This window comes from Homo sapiens, chromosome 8 (assembly GCF_000001405.40).
Source record: "Homo sapiens chromosome 8, GRCh38.p14 Primary Assembly".
In the NCBI taxonomy this organism is placed as follows: domain Eukaryota; kingdom Metazoa; phylum Chordata; class Mammalia; order Primates; family Hominidae; genus Homo; species Homo sapiens.
The window spans coordinates 98,131,268-98,152,944 of NC_000008.11; the positions used below are offsets into that span (position 1 = coordinate 98,131,268).

Consider the following 21,677-nt stretch of genomic DNA (forward strand, 5'->3'; position numbering starts at 1 on the left):
TCCTTCAGCCCCTGGCAGCCACCATTCTATTGTCTATCCAATAATTTGATCCTATAGGTGCTTCATAGGGGTGAAATCATACAATATTTGTCTTTTTGTGACTGGCTTATTTCATTTAGCATAATGTCTTAAAATTCATCCGTGTTGTAGCATGTGTCAGAATTCCCTTCCCTTTTAAGGCTGAAGATGTATTCCATTGTAGGTATATACCGTATCTTGATTATTCATTTATCTGTCAGTGGACATTTGGCTTACTTCCACCTTTTGGCTATTGTAAATAATGCTGCTGTGAACATGGATATGCAAATATCGTTACAGTCCCTGCTTTCAGTCCTCTTGAATATATCCCCAGAAGTGTAATTGCTGGATCATATGATAATTCTATGTTAATTTTATGTTTAATTTTTTGAGGTACTGCCTTACCATTTTCCATAGCAACTGTATCATTTTACATTCCCACCAGCAATACACAAGGGTTCCAATTTCTCCTCATCCTTTTCAGTACTTGTTACTTTATTTATTTATTTGATCACAGTCATTCTAATGAGTGTGAAGTGAATAAGAGGACCTTTTAGGAGTCTTTGATTTGAGAACTCAGCAGCAGAAATCATAGATAATAGTCAAGTTCCTCATTCACATTGAGGAAGCTGGGTTCTGGAGAGATGAAGTGACTTGCCTGGGCTCACACAGCTTGTTGGTGGCCTACATAGCACTTGGGTGGCTGATTCCCCTGGCTTGTGCTTTTTCCACTGTCCTCTGCCAATGAGTTACTTTTCATTTTGGGCATAATTTTTGCTGAAGTTATCAGATATTTTCTCTAAAATTTGATCAGCCCTAAGTAATAAAACTAATAGCTAATAATAACAAATATTAGTGAGTGCTTAATATATGCCCTACCCTGTTTTAAATGGTTTGCATGTGTTTACTCATTTAATCCTCAGAATAGTACGAAGTAAGGAGTTACCATTATTTCCATTTTACAGATGGGGAAACTGAGGTACAGAGAGGTTAGGTAGTTTACCCATGATTGTATGGCCAATGAGTGTTGAGGTTCAGATTTGAGCCCAGTTGCCTGACTCCAGGGTTCCACACTCTGAACCATTATTCTCTGCTGTCACTTGTTTGGGTGAGGTTCCTCTGGCCACTGACAGCTGAGAGCTGGTCACTGGATGGGAAGATTTCTTTGTGTGAGTGATCATATTGATTGACATGCGTTGTCAGAATCATAGCTATAATTTCCCTTTTAGTTCTAGTTACTGAGTGCACTGAAATTGCTTAAAGATGCTATAGCAGAAGGGTTGGTTTGGCAGATCACTGAGCCTGATTAGAATGCTGGCTTCTCCACTTAATGACTGTGTCTTTGTTCAAGTAACAATCTCTGTGTCACAGTGTCCTTGTCTGTCAGATAAGATAACCATACTAGGTACATCTGGTTGTCAGGAAGACTAAATGACTGTTCATGTAAGGAGTTAACTCATTGCTGGCACTCAGTAACCCTTCAATGACTATTAACTATTATAGGCCAGGCATGGCAGCTCATGCTTAGAATCACAGCATTTTGGGAGGCTGAGGCAGGAGGATTGCTTGAGCCCTGGGGTTCAAGACCAGTCTGGGCAACATAGTGAGACTCTGTCTCTGCAAAAAAAAAAAAAAAAAAAAAAAAATCTGGGTGTGGTGGCTCGTGCCTGTAGTCCCAGCTACCTGGGAGGCTGAGGCAGGAGGATTGCTTGAGCTCTGGGGTTCAAGACCAGTCTGGGCAACATAGTGAGACTCTGTCTCTGCAAAAAAAAAAAAAAAAAAAAAGCTGGGTGTGGTGGCTCGTGCCTGTAGTCCCAGCTACCTGGGAGGCTGAGGCAGGAGGATTGCTTGAGCCCAGGAAGTTGAGACTTCTGTGAGCTGTGATTGCGCCTCTGTACTCTAGCACTGGCAACAGAGTGAGACCCTGTCTCAAAAACAAAACAAACTGTTAGAATTATTATTATAATTATTATTATGGATACTATAACTATTGAAACTTTTAACATTGATTTCATTAGCTTAGTCTGATCTCTCTTCATCTTACTTGAAATTGTATGTTATTACTTTTACTTTCTTTGTACTGTGCTTAAAGTTGCATATCATGGTCAAGACTGAGTATGGGAGAAATATGGGATGGATTAATTGCAATATTGTATCTCTAGGCTTAGTGTTAAGTAATCTTGAGGTCCTGAATTAGCTAACCAAATTGAGCAACCTGAGCATAATTTTGCAGAATTCATTACTGTTTTGCTTATTTTACTCTGGTTTCTTACCTTAGGTAGACTTTGGGGGTGAATGGTTCTCTACTTAGAGGCAACAGTTATGTACCCTCCGTAGAACCTGTCTATGAATATGGGATAAAACATAGATTACCTAAAAAGTAGGATACCGTAACTTACATTTTAAATGGAGATTCATTTTTATTTTGGTTCGGGTTGGTTTAAAAATATTTGTTAAGGTGACAGGAATGGACAGGTTTAGATATTTTTTCCACTAAACCATCGGGCAGGAGAAGGTTTAGATTTTGACTTATGAGAACATAGCTTTAGCAATTTGTTTTGTGTCTTAGGCCTCTAAAGGTTTTGTGATACGGCTTTTGGCTTCTTAGCAGTTTTGCCTGTGTAAATTCCTAAGTACTTAATTGTGTCTCCCGCTTTGTGCAGGATTTATCCTATTACTGTTGTTTGGAGTTGAAAGGCAAAGAGGAAGAAATACTAAAGGCGCTTTCTGGAATGTGTAACATAGACACAGGTAAACTTGTTTTAAAGCTGAGTTCTATTTTAGTCTATGTATATTTATTCATTTCATAAAGAAGTGTCTACTGTAAGCATTTTGGAATTCAAACATATAGAAAAGTGTGTGAGACACTAATCATTCCCAATGAAAATGTTAACTTAAAAACAGTTGGGTTGGCTTTTAAATAATTTCTAACATTGTCAAGTGTAAAGTGATAGAGTCATTTTTCTGGTGGAGTGAACTTGACAGAAAGAAACTTGAAGCTCTCATTACTCATTTAACACATATTTGTTGAGAACTTATTGTGTGCCAGGCTTTGATCTGAGCAATCCTCACAACCAAAACTTCACCTCTCATGGAGGCAGACAGTAAATGACAGTGTGGTTATCAGGAAATAGGACTGCAGTCTCAACACCCGGAATTATGGAATTTTGCTTTTGTTGATGTCAGGGCTGACGTTTGCAGCAGTTCACTGCTTGTCTGGAAAGCGCCAAGGGAGCCTTGTGCTTTATCGGGTGAATAAATATCCCAGAGAAATGCTTGGGCCTGTTACGTTTATCTGGAAGTCCCAGAGGACCCCGGGTGACCCTTCTGAGAGCAGGCAGCTGTGGATCTGGCTGCATCCAACCCTTAAACAGGTATAATCCTTCAGGTTATCTCCCGTCATTCTGAAACTGCATTTTTAATTACTGCTGGAAGTCAATACTGTAGAAATGTAAATAGTGTAAAGGTTTGTCTGATAGTCTGATATTTGTATATGGGGGGCTCTATGATTATTGAATGAAGTGAATTTTTAAAAAACTTTAAAAATTTGTATTTAAAAATGTCTAATTGACAAAAAGCAAATATATTCAAAGTATATAATATGATGATTTGATATACATGTTGTATACCACAATCAAATAACACATCCATCACCACCCATGCTGTACATTATATCCCCGGAACTTGTTTATCAAATATAATGAAGTCAGGGCGGGGCATGGTTTCTCATGCCTGTAATCCCACCACTTTGGGAGGCTGAAGCAGTTGGATCACTTGAATCCAAGAGTTTGAGACTAGGCTGGGCAACACGGTGAAACCCTGTCTCTGCAAAAAAGACAAAAATTAGCTAGGATTGGTGGCATGCACCTGTAGTCTCAGCTACTTGGGAGGCTGAGGCGGGAGGATCACTTTGAGCCCAGGAGGCAGAGTTGCAGTGAGATGAAATCGTGCTATTGCACTCCAGCCTGGGTGACAGTGAGACCCTGTCTCGAAAAAAAAAAAAACTAATCTTGACATCTCATATTTTTAGTAAGTCATAAGCAGAAGTAGAGATAAAAACCAGCCTTATGCTAATTATTTGAAATGTTGAATTTGAACTAATGTTTCTACCATGACTGAAGTGGTTCACTAGTATCTAGGGGCTATTTGATAATGAAAAGCTATTTTTGAGTAATTCTAATGATTTTTCACACTGAATTTAGCTTAGCTTCCCTTCTTTAGCATACTCACTACTTTAAAAAAATGTAGTCAGAGTGATCATGTTGTTTTCATAATATTTGACTAACCCTACCCCTAGCCCCAGCCCTAATTAACCCATTTGAAATTTTCAGTTTCAAAATTTTTTTTTGTTTAAAGTGGCATACACTACTCAGAACACCCAAAAAAGCTTTTTTTCAAAAATTAAAATTAAATTAAAAAAAATTTTTTTTTCCCAGAGGGTTTTGCTCTGTCATTGAGACTTGAGTGCAGTGGTGCAGTCATAGCCCACTGCAGCCTCTACTTCCCAGGCTCAAATGATCCTCCTACCTCAGCCTCCCCGAGTAGCTTAGACTACAGGGGTGCACCACCTTGTCCAGCTAATTATTTTTTTATTTTGTGTAGGAACAAGGTCTCCCTATGTTGCCCAGGCCATGGTCTCAAACTCCTGGGCTGAAGCCATCCTCCTGCCTCAGCTTCCCAAAGTGCTGAGATTACAGACGTGAGCCACCACACCTGGCCGAAAAAAGCTTTTTGATGATAAATTTAATTTAAGTTAATTTGTGAGGGAATACAAATGTGATTTTTTTTTATTTTTTATTTTTTATTTTTTTTTGAGACGGAGTCTTGCTCTGTTGCCCGGGCTGGAGTGCGATGGCACGATCTCAGCTCACTGCAACCTCTGCCTCCCAGGTTCAAGTGATTCTCCTGCCTTAGCCTCCTGAGTAGCTGAGATTATAGGTGCCTGCCACCCAACTATTTTTTGTATTTTTCAGTAGAGATGGAGTTTTGCCAGTTGGTCAGGCTGGGCTCGAACTCCTGATCTCAGGTAATCTACCCACCTCGGCCTCCCAAAGTGCTGGGATTACAGGTATGAGCCACCGTGCCTGGCCAAAAATGTTAATTTTTAAAGAGATTTAAAAAAAAAAACCCAACTAAATTTGTCGTAATATATTTAAATTTCAAGATTTTAAAGTGAATGTTTAAATATATTTTTAGGATATCTTAGAGGAAATAAAAGCAGCGTGCCAGTGTGTGGAACCCATCAAATCAGCTGTCTGCATCGCTGACCCACTTCCAACACCATCCCAAGAAAAAAGCCAAACTGAATTGCCTGACGAGAAAATTGGCAAGAAAAGAAAAAGGAAAGATGATGGAGAAAATGCTAAACCAATTAAAAAAATTATCGGTGATGGAACTAGAGATCCATGTCTACCATACTCTTGGATCTCTCCAACCACAGGCATTATAATCAGGTATGAGTTGAATTTGCTTTGAACCTACTGAACATTTTCAGTGAAGACCTGCTCCATTTTTGTCAGTGGCACAGATGTTGTGTGATGAAAGTTTCCATTTTAAGATGTTCTTTCTTTTTCAGCGATTTGACGATGGAGATGAACAGATTCCGGCTGATTGGGCCACTTTCCCACTCCATCCTAACTGAAGCAATAAAAGCTGCTTCTGTCCACACTGTAAGAGTAAAAGTGACTGTAGTGTTTTATTCTAATCATGTTTTTCCTGTCAAATTTGTGAAACCTAATATATAATTTGGTAACATTTTGGGCCATGGCTTTTAGATGTTTATTTCCCTACTTATTATGCTTATTATCAAAGATTTTGTTATCTTTCACTTCTCCTAGAAGACCACAACTAAGTGGATATGATCAGTAAACTGACTGTTCTTACTTAAATACAGACTGCTCTTGCATCTGTGAGTCTTGTAGAGGGTCTTAACTTCTGCTTCATAGGTAGGGAGTCTCTAAAATCCCTGAAATTGTGTGCCAGATTTTGTGATGTGTGCGTGTGCCATGTAGGTTTTCTTTTCTTTTTTTTTTTCTGAGATTGAGTCTCATCCTGTTGCCCAGGCTGGAATGCAGTGGTGCGATCTTGGTTCACTGCACCCTCTGCCTCCTGGGTTCAAGCGATTCTCCTGCCTCAGCCCCCCGAGTAGCTGAGACTATAGGTGCACACCACCAGGCCCAGCTAGTAGAGACAGGGTTTCACCATGTTGGACAGGCTGGTCTGGAACTCTTGACCTCAGGTGATCCGCCCACCTTGGCCTCCCAAAATGCTGGGATTACAGGCATGAGTCACCGCACCTGGCTGGTTTTCTGGGGCTAGTTTTAGGGGTCTAGAATCTCTAAAAAGGTTAAGAGCAGTATGTCTAGGGCAGCACTTCCAGTAGAGCTTTCTGTGAGGATGATGTTCCTTTGTGCTGTCCAGTACGACAGCCATTAGCCACATGTGGCAGTTGAATACTTGAATTGTGGCTAGAGTGACTGAGGAACTGAATTTATACCTTTACTTAACTTTAATTAACTAAAAATTAAATTTGAGTAGCTCTATTGGCAAGTGGCTAGCATAGAGACTAGATTAGGAATCTGCACCCTGGGTTCAGATCCTGTTCGTTTTCTGGTCTTAGTGCAATTAACTTTTCAATGCCTGTGCCTCTCACTGACTTGACGTGGTCAAATACGATGATAGAGCTGAACAGATTCTGAGTTTTTAGAAGAAAGATGCTTTAAAATACAAAAGCTACTTTTCTCCATCTTCACTGCTTCTGCTGTACTCTCAACCAGTGTTGTCTCTTGCCTGAACAATTGGGGGATCAGGAAAGGATTCTAGAGGGAACCTTAAGTTTCCTCCATCCTTCCTCCTTTTCAGCCCATTCTCCACACAAGAGGCAGAGTGATTTTTTGATAATTTATTCCCTCTTGTTGCTTCCTGATGAAAAGTTTTTGAATAGCTTCTCATTGTAATTAAGATAAAATCCAAAGTGCTCAATGTGACCCGTGTAATCTTGTGCCTTCTTGCCTCTGAGGCCTCATTTCTCCTCACCCTTCTACACTTCAGCCACCCTGACCTTCTTTCAGGTTCTGGAATGTCAGTTCTTGTCTCCCTTAGAGCCTTTGCACCTGTTTTTTCCTTCCAACTACTGAGCATTCTGCCTCCACCACTCTTTACTTTGCTGAACCTTCCTCATTCTTCAGATTTCAGTCTCTAGCATTTCCCTCTAGCATCCTTTCCTGATCCCCCAAGTTAAACTAGATCCCTCCTGTTGTTTTCAGAGAGAGCATCTTGCAAATTCCCTCAATTTATTTATATAGATTTGTGTATTTATGTAATGTCCATGTCTCTCATGAGACTGTGAGCTTCATAAGGGTGAGGATAGAGTTGGTCCTGTTTTTCACTCTCTCCCCAGTGCTTAGCACAATGTCTGGCACAGAGAGGGTGCCCCGTAGTAGCTAATAAGTTGTGGAGCAAAGATTTGAACCAATGAAGTTTGGTTCCAGAGCCTGTACTGTAAACCACTAAGCTGTGCTACCTGAGTTTCTGTGAGTAAATGGTACCTTTGTTATGATTGCTTTTTTTTTTTTTTTTTTTGTTTGAGACAGAGCCTCACTCTGTCACCCAGGCTGGAGTGCAGTGGCACAATCTCAGCTCACTGCAACCTCCACCTCTCAGGTTCAAGCAATTCTCATACCTCAGCCTCCCGAGTAGCTGGAATTACAGGTGCCAGCCAACACACCCGGCTAATATTTTTTGTATTTTTAGTAGCGGTTTCACTATGTTGGCCAGGCTGGTCTCGAACTCCTGGCCTCAAGTGACCCGCCTGCCTCGGCCTACCAAAATGCTGGCATTACAGGCATGAGCCACTGCACCCGGCCATGATTGCTTCTTTAGGATCCGTAAGTGCACATCCTACTTCAGTGAACTTCAGCATGAGTTGTGGCTATAGATTCCCTTCTTGCCATGCATGTGATACTTGAAGGACTTTTTGAAATCTTCCTCAATTCCTAGTTCCATGTGGAAAAAATATACATTTCTAGGAATAATGTAGTAGTAGTATATCTTTTATCTGGAAAGTTCTTCAAAAGGTACTGGTTTGATTTTCCTTTGGTGAGGAACATTTTATTGCTTACATTGGAGATGATGAAGTTAGCTCTAGTGGAAGAGGACCAGGCGTGTGGCTCACACCTGAAATCCCAGCTCTTTGGGAGGCTGAGGTGGGTTGATTGCTTCAGCCCAGGAATTCAAGACCAGCCTGGGCACCATAGTGAGACCATATATCTACAAAAAATAAGTTAAAAAAAATTAGCTGGGCATGGTGGCATGTGACTGTGGTTCCATCTCCCAGCCACTTGAAAGGCTGAAGTGGGAGGATCACTTGAGCCTGGGAGATTGAGGCTGCAGTGAGCCATGACAGGCCACTGCACTCCAGCCTCAGTGACAGTGAGACTGTGTCAAGAAAAAAAAGAGAGAGGAGCGAGGCCTCCTTTGTTGGTACTGCGCTCTGGAGAGACTTTGAGTGTGAAGTATCTTAGTGAGTTAGTCTATGAAAACCATAGATGATTTTCTTCATATGTGAAATCTTGAGAGAAGTGTAATACTATATCCTTGCTGCTAATTCAAAGGGTAGTTAGTCTGGTATTAATTACTATGTTAAGTATAGTGGCAACTTCCCTGGTTCATCCCATAACACATACATTTCCACACATAGAAGAAGAAAGAGTGGGGGCTGATATCACAACCATGACAAAATTATGAAGGTGGATTCATTGTTCGTCCAGTGAATAGTAGTTGTTATTTTTCAGGTGGGAGAGGACACAGAGGAGACACCTCACCGCTGGTGGATAGAAACCTGTAAGAAACCTGACAGCGTTTCCCTTCATTGCAGACAAGAAGCCATTTTCGAGTTGTTGGGAGGTATACAAAGGGAAGACTGGGTTGTGTTGGGGAGGGAAGGGGGCCAAAAGAGCCTTTTGCAGTTGGGCCTCCAACATGTAGTATTGCTTTTTAACCTGCTGCTATTGTGACACAGCAAGAGAACCAAGTAAGAGAGGGACTGAACTCAGTGAATAAACACTATATTCATGCCTGGTTATGAAACAACAAACAAATGGTATGTTCATATTCTAAGTAACTGGCATTCTGATAGTGGAGATAAATGCATACACCAGGTACTGACCTAAACTCTATGCTTACCTGCACACAACTGCATTTTTGCTCATAGCTGCTGTAGTTATCACTGATAGAAGCATATGTGTTCATTTCATAAAAGAACCTTTTTTTATGTTGGCCTCATGTTTTTTGCAAGAAACCTCATTCTTTATGAATGTTAACTTATTCTCTAAAAGTATCAATGGGAAGAGAGGGAATACATGTTTTTAAGTAATTAGTCCAAGAAAAACGTTTCATTAGGAAATCTGAAAGATTTAAAAATACAAGCAAATACAGATGTATTATGAATGACTTTCTGTAAACTTCTTTTTGTTGTTGTTAAAGGAATAACATCACCAGCAGAAATTCCGGCAGGTACTATTCTGGGACTGACAGTTGGGGATCCTCGAATAAATTTGCCCCAAAAGAAGTCCAAAGCTTTGCCCAATCCAGAAAAATGCCAAGGTAAAGTTCCAAAAACACCCCAGGTTTTCCTTACTATTTCGAGCAGTCCAGTCTTATTAGAAGAAGAGTTCTTTCTCTGACACCTCTCCAGTAACTTCATCTGTAAAAAATTAGGGCAGTCTCCTTACCTGCCCACTTTACAAGCTGATTATGATCTAAGGAAATGGTAGGTGTGGAAGTGTCTTTTAGCAGTAAAACACGTAGCCTGATACTTATGTTCATTTTATTTTCCGAGTTCTCTTTTTTTAGTATCTAGTAAAACCTGTCTCTCTGCAAACTACGTTCTCTGAAAATGTCTGGCGTTTCAGAATTTTAATTGTGAGGAAGGGATCTGCACCCGAAGCTGGTCTTGTGCTCAGTGGAAGCCTCTGTCTGACCATACAGATGATCCAGGTTCGAATCCTGGCAAGGCCATCCCAGGTGCTGAAGTATAAGATGTCTTGGTTTAGACTAAGTAGTACTAGAGGCCTGAGAAAGTTGTTTGGCTGGGGTGGCACAGGAGGTGGGTAAGGGGCTGGCTAAAATTTTGTTCTGATATGAGATTGGCAGCAATTTTGATAATGTCTCATTGTATTTACTGTCATTTAAACATGATTAATTGGAAGAATAATTAAAATTACCATGTGAGTCTTTGGAGATAAAGTAAAGGTTTGTGTTGTAACGACTTCAGAATTTTTTTTTTTTTGAGATGGAATCTCGCTTTTGTCACCCAGGCTGGAGTGCAATGGATGGCGTCATCACTGCAACCTCCACCTCCTGGGTTCAAGTGATTTGCCTGCCTCAGCCTCCTGAGTAGCTGAAATTACAGGCATCCACCACAACGCCTGGCTAATTTTTTTTTTTTTTTTTTTGTATTTTTGGTAGAGATGGGGTTTCACCATGTTGGCCAGGCTGATCTCAAACTCCTGACCTCAGGTGATCCACCCACTTCAGCCTCCCAAAGTGCTGGGATTACAGGCATGAACCACCACGCCTGGCCCAGAATTTTTTTTTTAATGTAGTTAGATAGCTTATTGATGGGGCAATAAATTACTCTGTCAGAACTTCACATAAAAGGTGGATTGGATGAGAGAGGAGTTTGAAGATATATAGGTAAGTTAGTTAATTATGAAGCCTAAGACTTTACTCAATGAGTCATTGCCTCTTTCTTTTCTTTTCTTTTTTACTACGAATGTGGTCTGGTGCAACGTAAAAGTTGCAGCATTTACTACACCATTAAATGTTGACTATTATAATTGCCTTGAAGCTATAAACTCTACTTAGTTTCTCTTGCTACCTCAAATCCTTTTTTGGAATGAGGTGATTATTAAATCCTCTCTAAGGCTTTTGTTTTAATATGAATCAGCTCAAGGAAAATTAAAGTCTATCTTGAAAAACGTGATTTAATTTGACGCCTGAAGTCAAGCAATCCTTCTGCCTCGGCCTCCCAAAGTGCTGGGATTACAGGTGTGAGCCACCATTCCCAGCTAGAGAGCTTTTAAAAGGGAAGGTACATGAAGAAAATGAAGTGATAATGCATATTCTTAGATGCTTTGAAAAAGTTTGCTTGATAGCTGGTTCTAGAATTTGAATTAAATATTAATAATGTGTTTTTGCAAATCTTTTCAACTTTATTAACACAATATTTCACTATATAGGTAACTGGTTTTCTAGATGAGATTTAAAAATATAGTTTCTGCCGTACTAGCTGTTGTTTTATTTGCTATCCTTAGTATTTGCCAATTTGCTTTGATGGATTATTTTGATTAGTTCTTATCTGTGAGAGATCAATTTCCTTTAGGAAATACTGAATTTACCTTGTGCTCGTGGGCTTATGATCTTTCCCTTTAAACACTCTTTGGTAGTATGACTTTCCCATACTACCCAAAACATGGAAGGAGGATAGCTGCCTTTAGAGTGATAGGTTAGAGGTCATCCCTTTATATTTTATAGCTCTTGCAAGCACTTTGAGAGCACTGATCTGCAGCAGACTTGAGCAGTGCCCAGTTAGCAGCCATGTTCTCTGCTTCCCCTGGGCCCTTTGAACTGTTTTACATATTTTATTTAAAATACTTTAATCTGAAGGCTGTAACTTTGGTTTTATTTGATTTCCAAATGAGAAAGCCTTTTACTGGTTACCTTTGCTTCTCTGAGTAAAACTCATTAAAAGAAAGTTCAATTTAACATTTGGTGATCTTTAAATACATTTAAGAAAGGAGAAAGCAAGCTCCTCCCTTCAGTCTTCAAGTCACATTCTGGAGTTAATATAATCAATTCAAGAACTTTTGTCTGTGTATGAAAGAAAACATGCTTTGAGTCTGGGGGAAGGACTTAGAATTACATTCAGAAGTGGCAGTCATTCTAGGCCCACTGATGTGTGTGCTGACTCAGCTGGGGATATTCTTTTTCTCTTCCCAGTAAAGACTATTGACCTAAGAGGGCCTTCCCCTTAGCCTTCAGACGTACTCCACTTTGTTGTAAATAGACTTTATTATTTTTTAGCGCAGCTTTAGATTCACAGCAAAATTGAGCATAAAGTACCGAGATCCCATGAACCTCCATCCCCTTCCATGCACCGCCACCACACAGTCTATGTCCTTAGTAGAGTGGTACGTTTGTTACAATCCATGAACCGACATTAACACATCATTATCACCTAAAGTCCTTAGTTTGTATTAGGGTTCACTCTTGGTGATATATATACTCTAAGTTTGTATTAAGGTCCACTCTTGGTGGTATATATACTCTTACCGATTTTGACAAAGGTGTAATGACATACTCACCATAATAGCATCATACAGAATAGATTCACTGCCCCCCAAATCCTCTGTGCTCTGCCTATTCATCCCTCTTTTCCCCCTAACTTCCGATAACCACTGATCTTTTTACTACCTCCATAGTTTTGTGTTTTTTAGAATATTATATAATTGGAATCATACAATACATAGCCTTTTCAGATAGGCTTCTTTCACTTAGTAATATGCACTTAAATTTCCTCTATGTAGGCCAGGCATGGTGGCTCACGCCTGTAATCCCAGCACTTTGGGAGGCCAAGGCGGGCAGATCACCTGTGGTCAGGAGTTCGAGACCAGCTTGGCTAACAGGGTGAAACCCTGTCTCTACTAAAAAAAAAAAAAAATTAGCTTGGCATGGTGGTGGGTGCCTATAATCCCAGCTACTTGGGAGGCCAAGGCAGGAGAATAGCTTGAACCTGGGAGGCAGAGGCTGCAGTGAGCTGAGATCGCACCACCACACTCCAGTCTGGGCAACAGTTGAGCAAGACTCCATCTAAAAAAAAACCCAAAAATTTCCTCTGTGTCTTCTCATGGCTCAATAGCACATTTCTTTTTAGCTCAATAATACTCCTTTGGACATACTGTCTACTTTGTTTTATCTATTATTATTAATATTATTTTATTTATTTTTGAGACAGAGTCTCACTCTGTTGCCCAGACCCGAGTGCAGTGGCGCAATCATGGCTCACTGCAGCCTTGAACTCCCGGGCTCAAGCGATCCTCCCACCGCAGCCCCCCAAATAGCTGGGATTACAGGCACATACCACTATGCCTGGCTAATTTTTAACTTTTTGTAGAGACAGGGTCTCACTAAATTGCCTAGGCTGGTCTCAAACTCCTAGGCTCAAGTGATCCTCCCATCTCAGCCTCCCAAAGTGCTAGGATTACAGGCGTGAGCCACTTTTGCCAGACCTATCTATTATTATCTTTTAGAATATTTGAAGATGAGGTAGTACTTTCCTGTATCTTTACACTGTGAGTATCAACTATCTCTTTTGTCTGCAGCTTAGTCTGACTAAAATCCCAATCATGTTCCCGAAATCCGTGGCAGTGCTCCACAGGAAAGCACTCTGGGTACCCAGGCTGTTGGAAGTGGAGCTTGACTACCCCTAGACAGGCCATGTGAACTTGCAGCACACAGCACTGTGGCTTGAGGATCTGATGGTGGTTATCTCTGTGAGGAAGAGCAGTGTAATGAAGCTGCTGTGGCTTTTAAAAATTTTTTATTTTACTTTATTTTTTTGAGACAGGGTCTGGCTCTGTCACCCAGGCTGGAGTGGAGTGGCGCGATCTCAGCTCACTGCAGCTTCCACCTCCTGGGCTCAAGCCATCCTCCTACCTCAGCCTCTCAAGTAGCTGGGATGACAGGCACACACCACCACAACCAGCTAATTTTTGTATTTTCCTGTAGAGACACGGTTTCGCCATGTTGCCCAGGCTGGTCTTGAACTCCTGAGCTGAAGCAATCTGCCTGCCTTGGCCTCCCAAAGTGCTGGGATTATAGACATGAGCCGTTGCACCTGGCCTGTTGTGGCTTTTAAACAGTTTTAATCTCAGATCTTTTCATCAACTTAATTTTTTCTAACTTCGTTCTGCCCTAAAATCTGTCACACTATGGCCCAGTTGCTTCCAACTTATTCTTTCCTAGCCATCAGACCCAGCAGGCAGGTATGTGCCTTTGAGTGATGTTTCTGTGTGGACAGTTTAGAACCATAACGCAAACTCACAAATTGTCTTTTTTTCTAATGAAAATTCTTCAGTTCAACAAAATAAGATTTGGGAGATGTTTTTCCCTGGGGATTAAATGACTGCATGTAGGAAGTTCCTTCTATCAATATAGAAGTTTGTCACTGATAAAGTTTGTTCCCCTTCCTGCTTGAGTACTTTCTAGCACGGTACAGCTTATTTAAAGGGATAAAACACTATGTATCACTGAAAATATGTTTATTTTAAAGGGATGAGGCTGGGCACGGTGGCTCACACCTATAATCCCAGCACTTTGGGAGGCCGAGGCAGGTGGATCACTTGAGGTCACGAGTTTAAGACCAGCCTAGCCAACACGGTGAAATACTGTCTCTACTAAAAATACCAAAATTAGCCAGGCATGGTGGCATGCGTCTGTAATCCCAGCTACTTGGGAGGCTGAGGCAGGAGAATTACATGAACCTGGGAGGCGAAGGTTGCAGTGAACCAAGATTGCGCCACTGCACTCCAGCCTGGGTGACAGAGCAAGACTCTGTCTCAAAGAAAAAAAAAGGATGAAAAAATACATTTTACAGAAACGAATAAATAGTTCAATATAAATAGGTTATCAGAGACTTAAAATAATGGACAGAAGAGAAGATGATGATATCTGTTGGCTCACCACCATTGGATGAGGAATGATACACAAAGCCCTGAAGCCAGTAGTTGAAATATGACATGTATTTATAATATGGCATATTATTATTTAGAGATGGGGTCTTGCTATGTTGCCCAGGCTGGACTTAAACTCCTGGGCTTAAGTCACCCTCCCCCCTTAGCCTCCCAAGTGGCTAGAATTACAGGTGTGCACCACCATGCCTGCCTTAATGTGCCGTATTATTTGCCTTTGCCGTGGCTCCTAGAATTTGATTATCTTACATGTGGAATTAGACAGTTATTTGGAGGCAATTTAATATTGTGATATTTGCATCTTATACATGAAAAATCAATACCAGAAAAAACTGCTTAGGAGCCTTTGCTATGTCATAGACTGTAAAACCGACTATAAGAATAACTTAATTTCTTGTCAAGTAAATTCTTCTAAGTTAAGTAAATGCCTATGAAATATTGTTTTGTAACAAAAGGCCTATTGCCAATGTTTGGAGTTTGACTTCATTGATCTGAAGGATGTGGTTTGAAGGCTATTTCTTTTCCCTCTTAGATAATGAGAAAGTTAGACAGCTGCTTCTGGAGGGTGTGCCTGTGGAATGTACGCATAGCTTTATCTGGAACCAAGATATCTGTAAGAGTGTCACAGAGAATAAAATCTCGGATCAGGTAACTAATAGTGTAAGGGTTATTGGTAAAGTCATGAATGACAGGTTAAATATATCATTCTAGAGACCATAAAAAGTTATTCATACTTCATAGAATTCCATAGACTTTCTTTTGTTTTCAAACAAGTTGTTGATCCCTAACTCATGATATGTACTGTGATTTTCTTCTGTTCTTATGGATAATCTAAGAATAAGGATAGGGATCTAAGAATAAGATAAGGATCTTGTCTATTATCCAAGGATAAGAATCTAAGAATAAAGATACATACTGTGATTTTTTTCTGTTCTTAGAGATAAAGTAAGAATAATCTCTAGAAAATGTTAATACAAAGACTTTTTCTTGAAATGATGATCTCATGGTTGAAATATGTTTTTCTTTTATTGTTTTCTTTTCCCTTAAATGTTCTCTGTCTTTAATTTTACTATGACTGGGGACCTTCCAGGGCCAGACATTGTGTAAGATGCTGGGATAGATGACTTAGATGTGGTCAAAGAAGTACAGGGCACTCAGGAAACCTCTAGAAGGGGTACTGAGCTCAGATGAGAAAAATGAGGCCAGCCTCCTGATGGAAGAGCAGGCATTTGAACTGACTCTCAGATGGGAGCCAGAAGTCACCAGACTTCTTGGGGGCAGGGTCAAGGTTTCAGTGAAGATAAGATTGCAGGAAGTAAGAAAAGCATGTACAGGAGCCCAGGCAAAAACCAGGAAGACTCTACAAGTGGATCAGGAGCTAGGAATCAGGAATGGGGTGAGAGAGGAAGCTGAAGACACAAATGGGGCTACAGCATGAAAGACCTTGAAGCCTTTTCAGGATTTGGACTGGAGATGTGGGACACCCTTGAAAGTTTTAAGGTTGGCTGTGACATGATGAGATTTCACTCTGACAGCAGTGTGGGGTTGGAGATGGGGGGTGAGGAAGCTGGAGAGAGACTGTGGGTTGGATGGCCTTAAAAAGACCCTTGAAATATTCTAGGTATGACATAATGGGGGCCTGAATTGTGGCAGTGTGGCTAGAGTGGAGAGGGTGATGTTTAACGCATATTCCTGGAAGGTGAAATTGACAAGGCTTGGTGGTTGGTTGGAAGATAGGAGGTAAGAAAGGAGGAGGTGTGTCGATTAGGTCCTGATATTCTAGCTTGGATTTAGGATTTCAGCTAAAAGAGAGCCAGAACCATGTCTTACTTGCTCACTGATGTATTTCCAGGTTCTAGAAAAGTGTGTGGCACATAGAAGTGCTCAGTAAATATTTGAATGGCTGAATGAATGGAGTGTGTGAATTGTGGTGTCATTCAGCTAGGTGAGGAATATAGGAAGAGAGCAAATACAGTGGGAAGGGTGATGAGTTCAATCTTGAGCTTGAGGGGCTGTGGGACTTCCCAAGAGCAGAGGTCCAGGAGACAGGTTTTGATCCCGGGAGGAAAAGTCGGGGCTAAAGAGATATAGTTTGGAATTACTAACACATAGATGGTAGTGGAAACTCCGAAAGTGAAAAAGAAGAATCAGGATTGGACCTGGCTTGAAGAGCGTTCATGAGGTAGCAGTTAGACTATGGCCTGGAGGCAGTCTCTTGCATAGTTTTTCTAAACAGTGATAGCCCTCTTACCTACCTGTTAATCTCTTTTTACAGCTCCAAGAAAAGTCTGAAAGGATGTTATCCACCCCCTACATTCCCCTTAACAATAATTTTAAACATCTTCTATTTAATTCTTGAAGATCTGATGAGCAATTTTCTCAAGAGGCAGTGCATTTCTCTAGTTGCCCATCCTTGAGAAGGTGTCACTTAATTGTTTATATCTTTTTTACTTCATGACACCAAATCTTAATCAAAATCAATGTAAGGACAGAATATCAACATACAAGATTAATCTTGATATAAGAGATCAGCAGAATGAATACTGATAATGAATGATATAAGATAATTTCGAATTTCTACCTAAGCACTTGTATAGAGGAAAATATCTGTAGGAGGAATACCTTATACTTAAAATGGCTCACATTTATTTATTTAGAACGTTTTTCTCTTGCTTTTTTAAAAGAGCATTTAATTTTCTAAAGCTGCTTATAGGGAGACCCAGGAGGATCTCCCAGAAGACTAGGGCTATTTGTCTTGAATTATTTTCTTCCACTTTAGGATTTAAACCGGATGAGGAGTGAATTGCTGGTGCCTGGGTCACAGCTTATTTTAGGTCCCCATGAATCCAAGATACCTATACTTTTGATTCAGCAGCCAGGAAAAGTGACTGGTGAAGATCGACTAGGCTGGGGAAGTGGCTGGGATGTCCTACTCCCAAAGGGCTGGGGCATGGCTTTCTGGATTCCATTTGTAAGTTACTTTTTGATTCTAACAGTTGCAATATTTAAAATACATTCCTAATAAATGCTAAGTACTCAAAATGTTCCAGACTTTATGTACAACTTAGGAGGAATTGAGTGGTGTATTTCTGCCCTTAGAGCTATAGTCCTGGATACAAGATACTTCATACATATAGTCCCTGGAGCCAGGTTCTCATTATAAGACCTGTGCTGACATATCGTCAATTGTTGAGGTTTTTAAAGTGGCCTGATATTCGAATAGTAGTGGCAACAAAAATGTTGAGGTATTTGATTTGAAGAAATTTGTTATAAGTTTAAAAGCAAAGGACTTAACTTTTACAGATGGATAGAATACTTTTTTTTTTGTTTTTGAAATGTTAACTATAACCATATACTCCTATTTATCAACTGCAGCTAAAAATTTTATTAGAATCGAATGTGTCTTTTTTTTCCTGGTTATTTCAAATATTACTTTGAAGGCTGGGTGTGGTGGCTCACTCCTGTAATCCCAGCACTTTGGGAGACCGAGGTGGGCAGATCACTTGAGGTCAGAAGTTTGAGGCCAGCCTGGCCAACATGGTGAAACCCCATCTCTACTAAAAATACAAAAACTAGCTGGGTGTGGTGGTGCATACCTGTAATCCCAACTCCTTGGGAGGCTGAGGCATAAGAATCCCTTGAACCTGGGAGGCGGAGTTTCAGTGAGCTGAGATCATACCACTGCACTCTAGCCTGGGCGACAGAGCGAGACTCTGTCTCAAAATAAATAAATAAATAAAATAAATAAGTAAATAAATAAATAAATAAATATTACTTCGATTCTAGAGAGTGTAAAAGGCATGTGAGACTTTTAGATTCATGCCGGTAATTAATTTTTAGCATGCCTAGTGCAAGGGACATCCAGTTAATCATTCAGGAGTAGGAATATTTAAAAATAATCCTACTTAATTTTTTACTATGAGATGCTTTCAAGCATACAAAAAAGAATAGATGCTGATATAGTGAATGCCTGTGTGCCATTTACCCGCCATCCGGCTTAAGAAATATAACATTACAGATGCATTGATGCACCCTGTGTACCTCTCTCCAGTTTCATTTCCCTCCCTCCTTTTAAAATAATCACTCCGCTGATTTCGGTATTTGCTACTACCATGCATATTTTTATAGCTTTATTAAAGTATGTTTGTATCCCACAATAAAATAACTATTTAGACTTGACATGTTTTTAAAGTATATACCTTACTGTATATATGATTTTGCAACTTGCTGTATTCACTTGGCATTGAGATTCTTTTCCATATTGGTTAATGAAGCATGACGAAGCTCGATTTTATTCATTTTTACTATTGCATGGTAATCCATTGTGTGTATTTCTATCCATTCTCCTTTTGAGGGGCGTTTAGGTTGTTTCCATTTTCCCCCATATAAACATTAAGCAATTCACTTTAAGTTGGTAGACTGACAGTATCTTTTTGACATTTCTTTTAGATTTATCGAGGTGTGAGAGTCGGAGGGTTGAAAGAGTCTGCAGTGCATTCTCAGTATAAGAGGTCGCCTAATGTCCCAGGCGATTTTCCAGACTGCCCTGCCGGGATGCTGTTTGCGGAAGAGCAAGCTAAGAATCTTCTTGAAAAGTACAAAAGGTAAGAAACTGGCTTCTCTAATTTGATAATGTATTAAGGAAAAGAGAAGTGCCTGCTTATATTGGTATCCCAAACATTAGGATGGCTTTGGTAATTTCATAGACTTTTCAGTGAGTTCAGCATTACTGAGAAATAATTAAGAAGATATTACTTAAGTGAGGAGATTGTCTTATATCTATTTGGCTTTTGTAGGCCCATTTTGGTTATAAACCCTTCTGTTTGTTATTTATTTCTATCAATAATGATGTACACTTAAACTTGGACATGAGTCTCAGACACTTGTTAATAGATTTCTACTACCAACCCGTGTCTCCCTCCAAAATGGAAATTGTGTTTTTAAAACTTATTATAGAAGTAATATATAGTTATCAAAATTTAATTAAACTATGAAAATATATAAAAAGATAAATTGGTATAGTCCTGCCACCCAGAGAGATAAGTACTGTTTGTTTGTTTGTTTTTTGAGATGGTGGTCTTGCTCTGTTGCCCAGGCTGTAGTTCAGTGGCGTGATCTTGGCTCACTGAAACCTCTGCCTCCTGGGCTCAAGCGATTCTTTCACCTCACCCGTGTAGCTGAGAGTAAAGGCATGTGCCATTGTGCCTGGCTAACTTCTGTATTTTCTGTAGAGACGGGGTTTCACCATGTTGCCCAGGCTGGTCTCGATACCAATTTTCCATAGATCCACCGGCCTTGGCCTCCCAAAGTGCCAGGATTATAGGTGTGAGCCACTGTGCCTGGCCAAGCACTGTTTTTATATCTTAGTACCTATCCATTTAGACTTTTCTTTTTTCATTGGAAGTGTGGCCGATGAGGGTCATGATTTCCTTTATATTGCAAAGTATATTCTAACATTGGGAATTTGTTGCCCCCTAAATTGTAGGCTCCCGGAAGCACAGAAGCTGTCTCTCTTTATTGTGGCATTTGCAGTGTCTAGCCAGTGCCTGGTGCACAGTAGGTCTTAATAACCTTTATTTGTTGTCTGATGAATGACTGGTTGAATATTGTAGTTCCTTGATGGTGAGCTTCATGAGGGCAGAATTGTGTTTTCTTGTTCATTGCTGCAACCATAACTATAGAGACAGGCAGTCTGCCTGGCTTGCTTTTTTTTTTTTTTTTTTTTGAGGCAGGATCTCACTCTGTCACCCAGGCTGGAGTACAGTGGCGTGATCATGGCTGACCACAGCCTCCACCTCCCGGACCCAGGTGATCCTCCCACCTCAGCCTCCTGAGTAGCTGGGACTATAGGCACCTGCCACCATGCCTGGCTAATTTTTGTAGAGATGAGGTTTTGCCATGTTGCCCAGGGTGTTCTTGAATTCCTGGGCTCAAGTGATCCACCTCCTTTGGCCTCCCAAAGTGCTAGGGTTACAGGTGTGAGCCACCCTGCCTGGCCTGTGCCTGCGTTTCAAACTATTTGCTGAGTGGTGGATGAATGAGTGACTAGTGATGTATTCCTGGATTGCTACCTTACCAGCTCTTTGAGGGCAGCAATCACATGTTATACATCCTTGTGCCTCCCATAGTATGTAGTTGAGAGGCTTCTATGTGTTTGTTAAATAATAGTTAAAAATAATACTTATTTCTTACTCTTCAGAGCTTTTTATGCATGCAAATTTTCCATAGATATACATATTTTTTTAAAGAATGGTATTACATACATTATTTTGAAACCTGTCTTTTTCGTTTAACAATATGGTATGTATGGTTTTACCATATCAAAAAATATGACTCTAAACCAAGTGTTGACAAACTTTTTTGGTAGAGGGCCAGATGATAAATATTTTTGACTTTGTGGAGCCCTCGGTCTCCATGGCAACTACTCGACTCTGCCACTGTGGCTCCAAAGCAGCTGCAGATGACACGTAAGAGAACGAGCACGGCTGTGTTCCAATCGTGCTTTATATATGGACCCTCGGATTTGAATTTCATATAATTTTCATGTGTCGTGAAATATTATTCTTTTGCTTTTTCAACCATTTAAAAACGTAGAAACCATTCTTAGCTCATGGGTCATACAAAAACAGACAGCAGGCCACATTTGGCTTGTGAGTCAGCCTGCCAGCTTTGTTCAAAATGTCACTTTGAATGCTCACATGCAATTGCAGTGTGGATGTCCTGTAATTTATCAGTGGCTTTTGAGGTTATTTCTGACTTTTTGCTGTGTGTTTCTGTGAACATCTTCCTGTATGCATCTTTATATATTTGTCTCATTTATTCCTTCATTTAACATACATTTCTTTAGAGCCTACTGTGTGTCAAACACCATTGTAGGCGGTGGGGTGACAGCAGGGACAAGGCAGACAA

At 40.3% G+C, this 21,677-nt stretch overlaps 1 protein-coding gene and 1 pseudogene across 4 annotated transcripts in view; both read left to right on the plus strand.

Moving 5' to 3' along the window:
* Positions 1 to 21,677, plus strand: part of POP1 (POP1 ribonuclease P/MRP subunit) — a 42,543-nt gene that overhangs the window by 13,975 nt on the left and 6,891 nt on the right. For 3 of the 4 annotated variants that reach the window (NM_001145860.2, NM_001145861.2, NM_015029.3), the window contains exons 6-14: positions 2,682 to 2,769; positions 3,205 to 3,392; positions 5,215 to 5,471; positions 5,594 to 5,687; positions 8,811 to 8,922; positions 9,502 to 9,621; positions 15,301 to 15,416; positions 17,548 to 17,739; positions 19,218 to 19,372. In NM_001145860.2, coding sequence (NP_001139332.1) covers positions 2,682 to 2,769; positions 3,205 to 3,392; positions 5,215 to 5,471; positions 5,594 to 5,687; positions 8,811 to 8,922; positions 9,502 to 9,621; positions 15,301 to 15,416; positions 17,548 to 17,739; positions 19,218 to 19,372 — 1,322 coding nt within the window. Of the gene's footprint in view, positions 1 to 2,681; positions 2,770 to 3,204; positions 3,393 to 5,214; positions 5,472 to 5,593; positions 5,688 to 8,810; positions 8,923 to 9,501; positions 9,622 to 9,929; positions 9,999 to 15,300; positions 15,417 to 17,547; positions 17,740 to 19,217; positions 19,373 to 21,677 lie in introns of those variants that run through there. The other variant, XM_011516801.3, reaches the window with a different exon arrangement.
* Positions 9,967 to 10,035, plus strand: TRUND-NNN2-1 (tRNA-undetermined (NNN) 2-1; annotated as a pseudogene).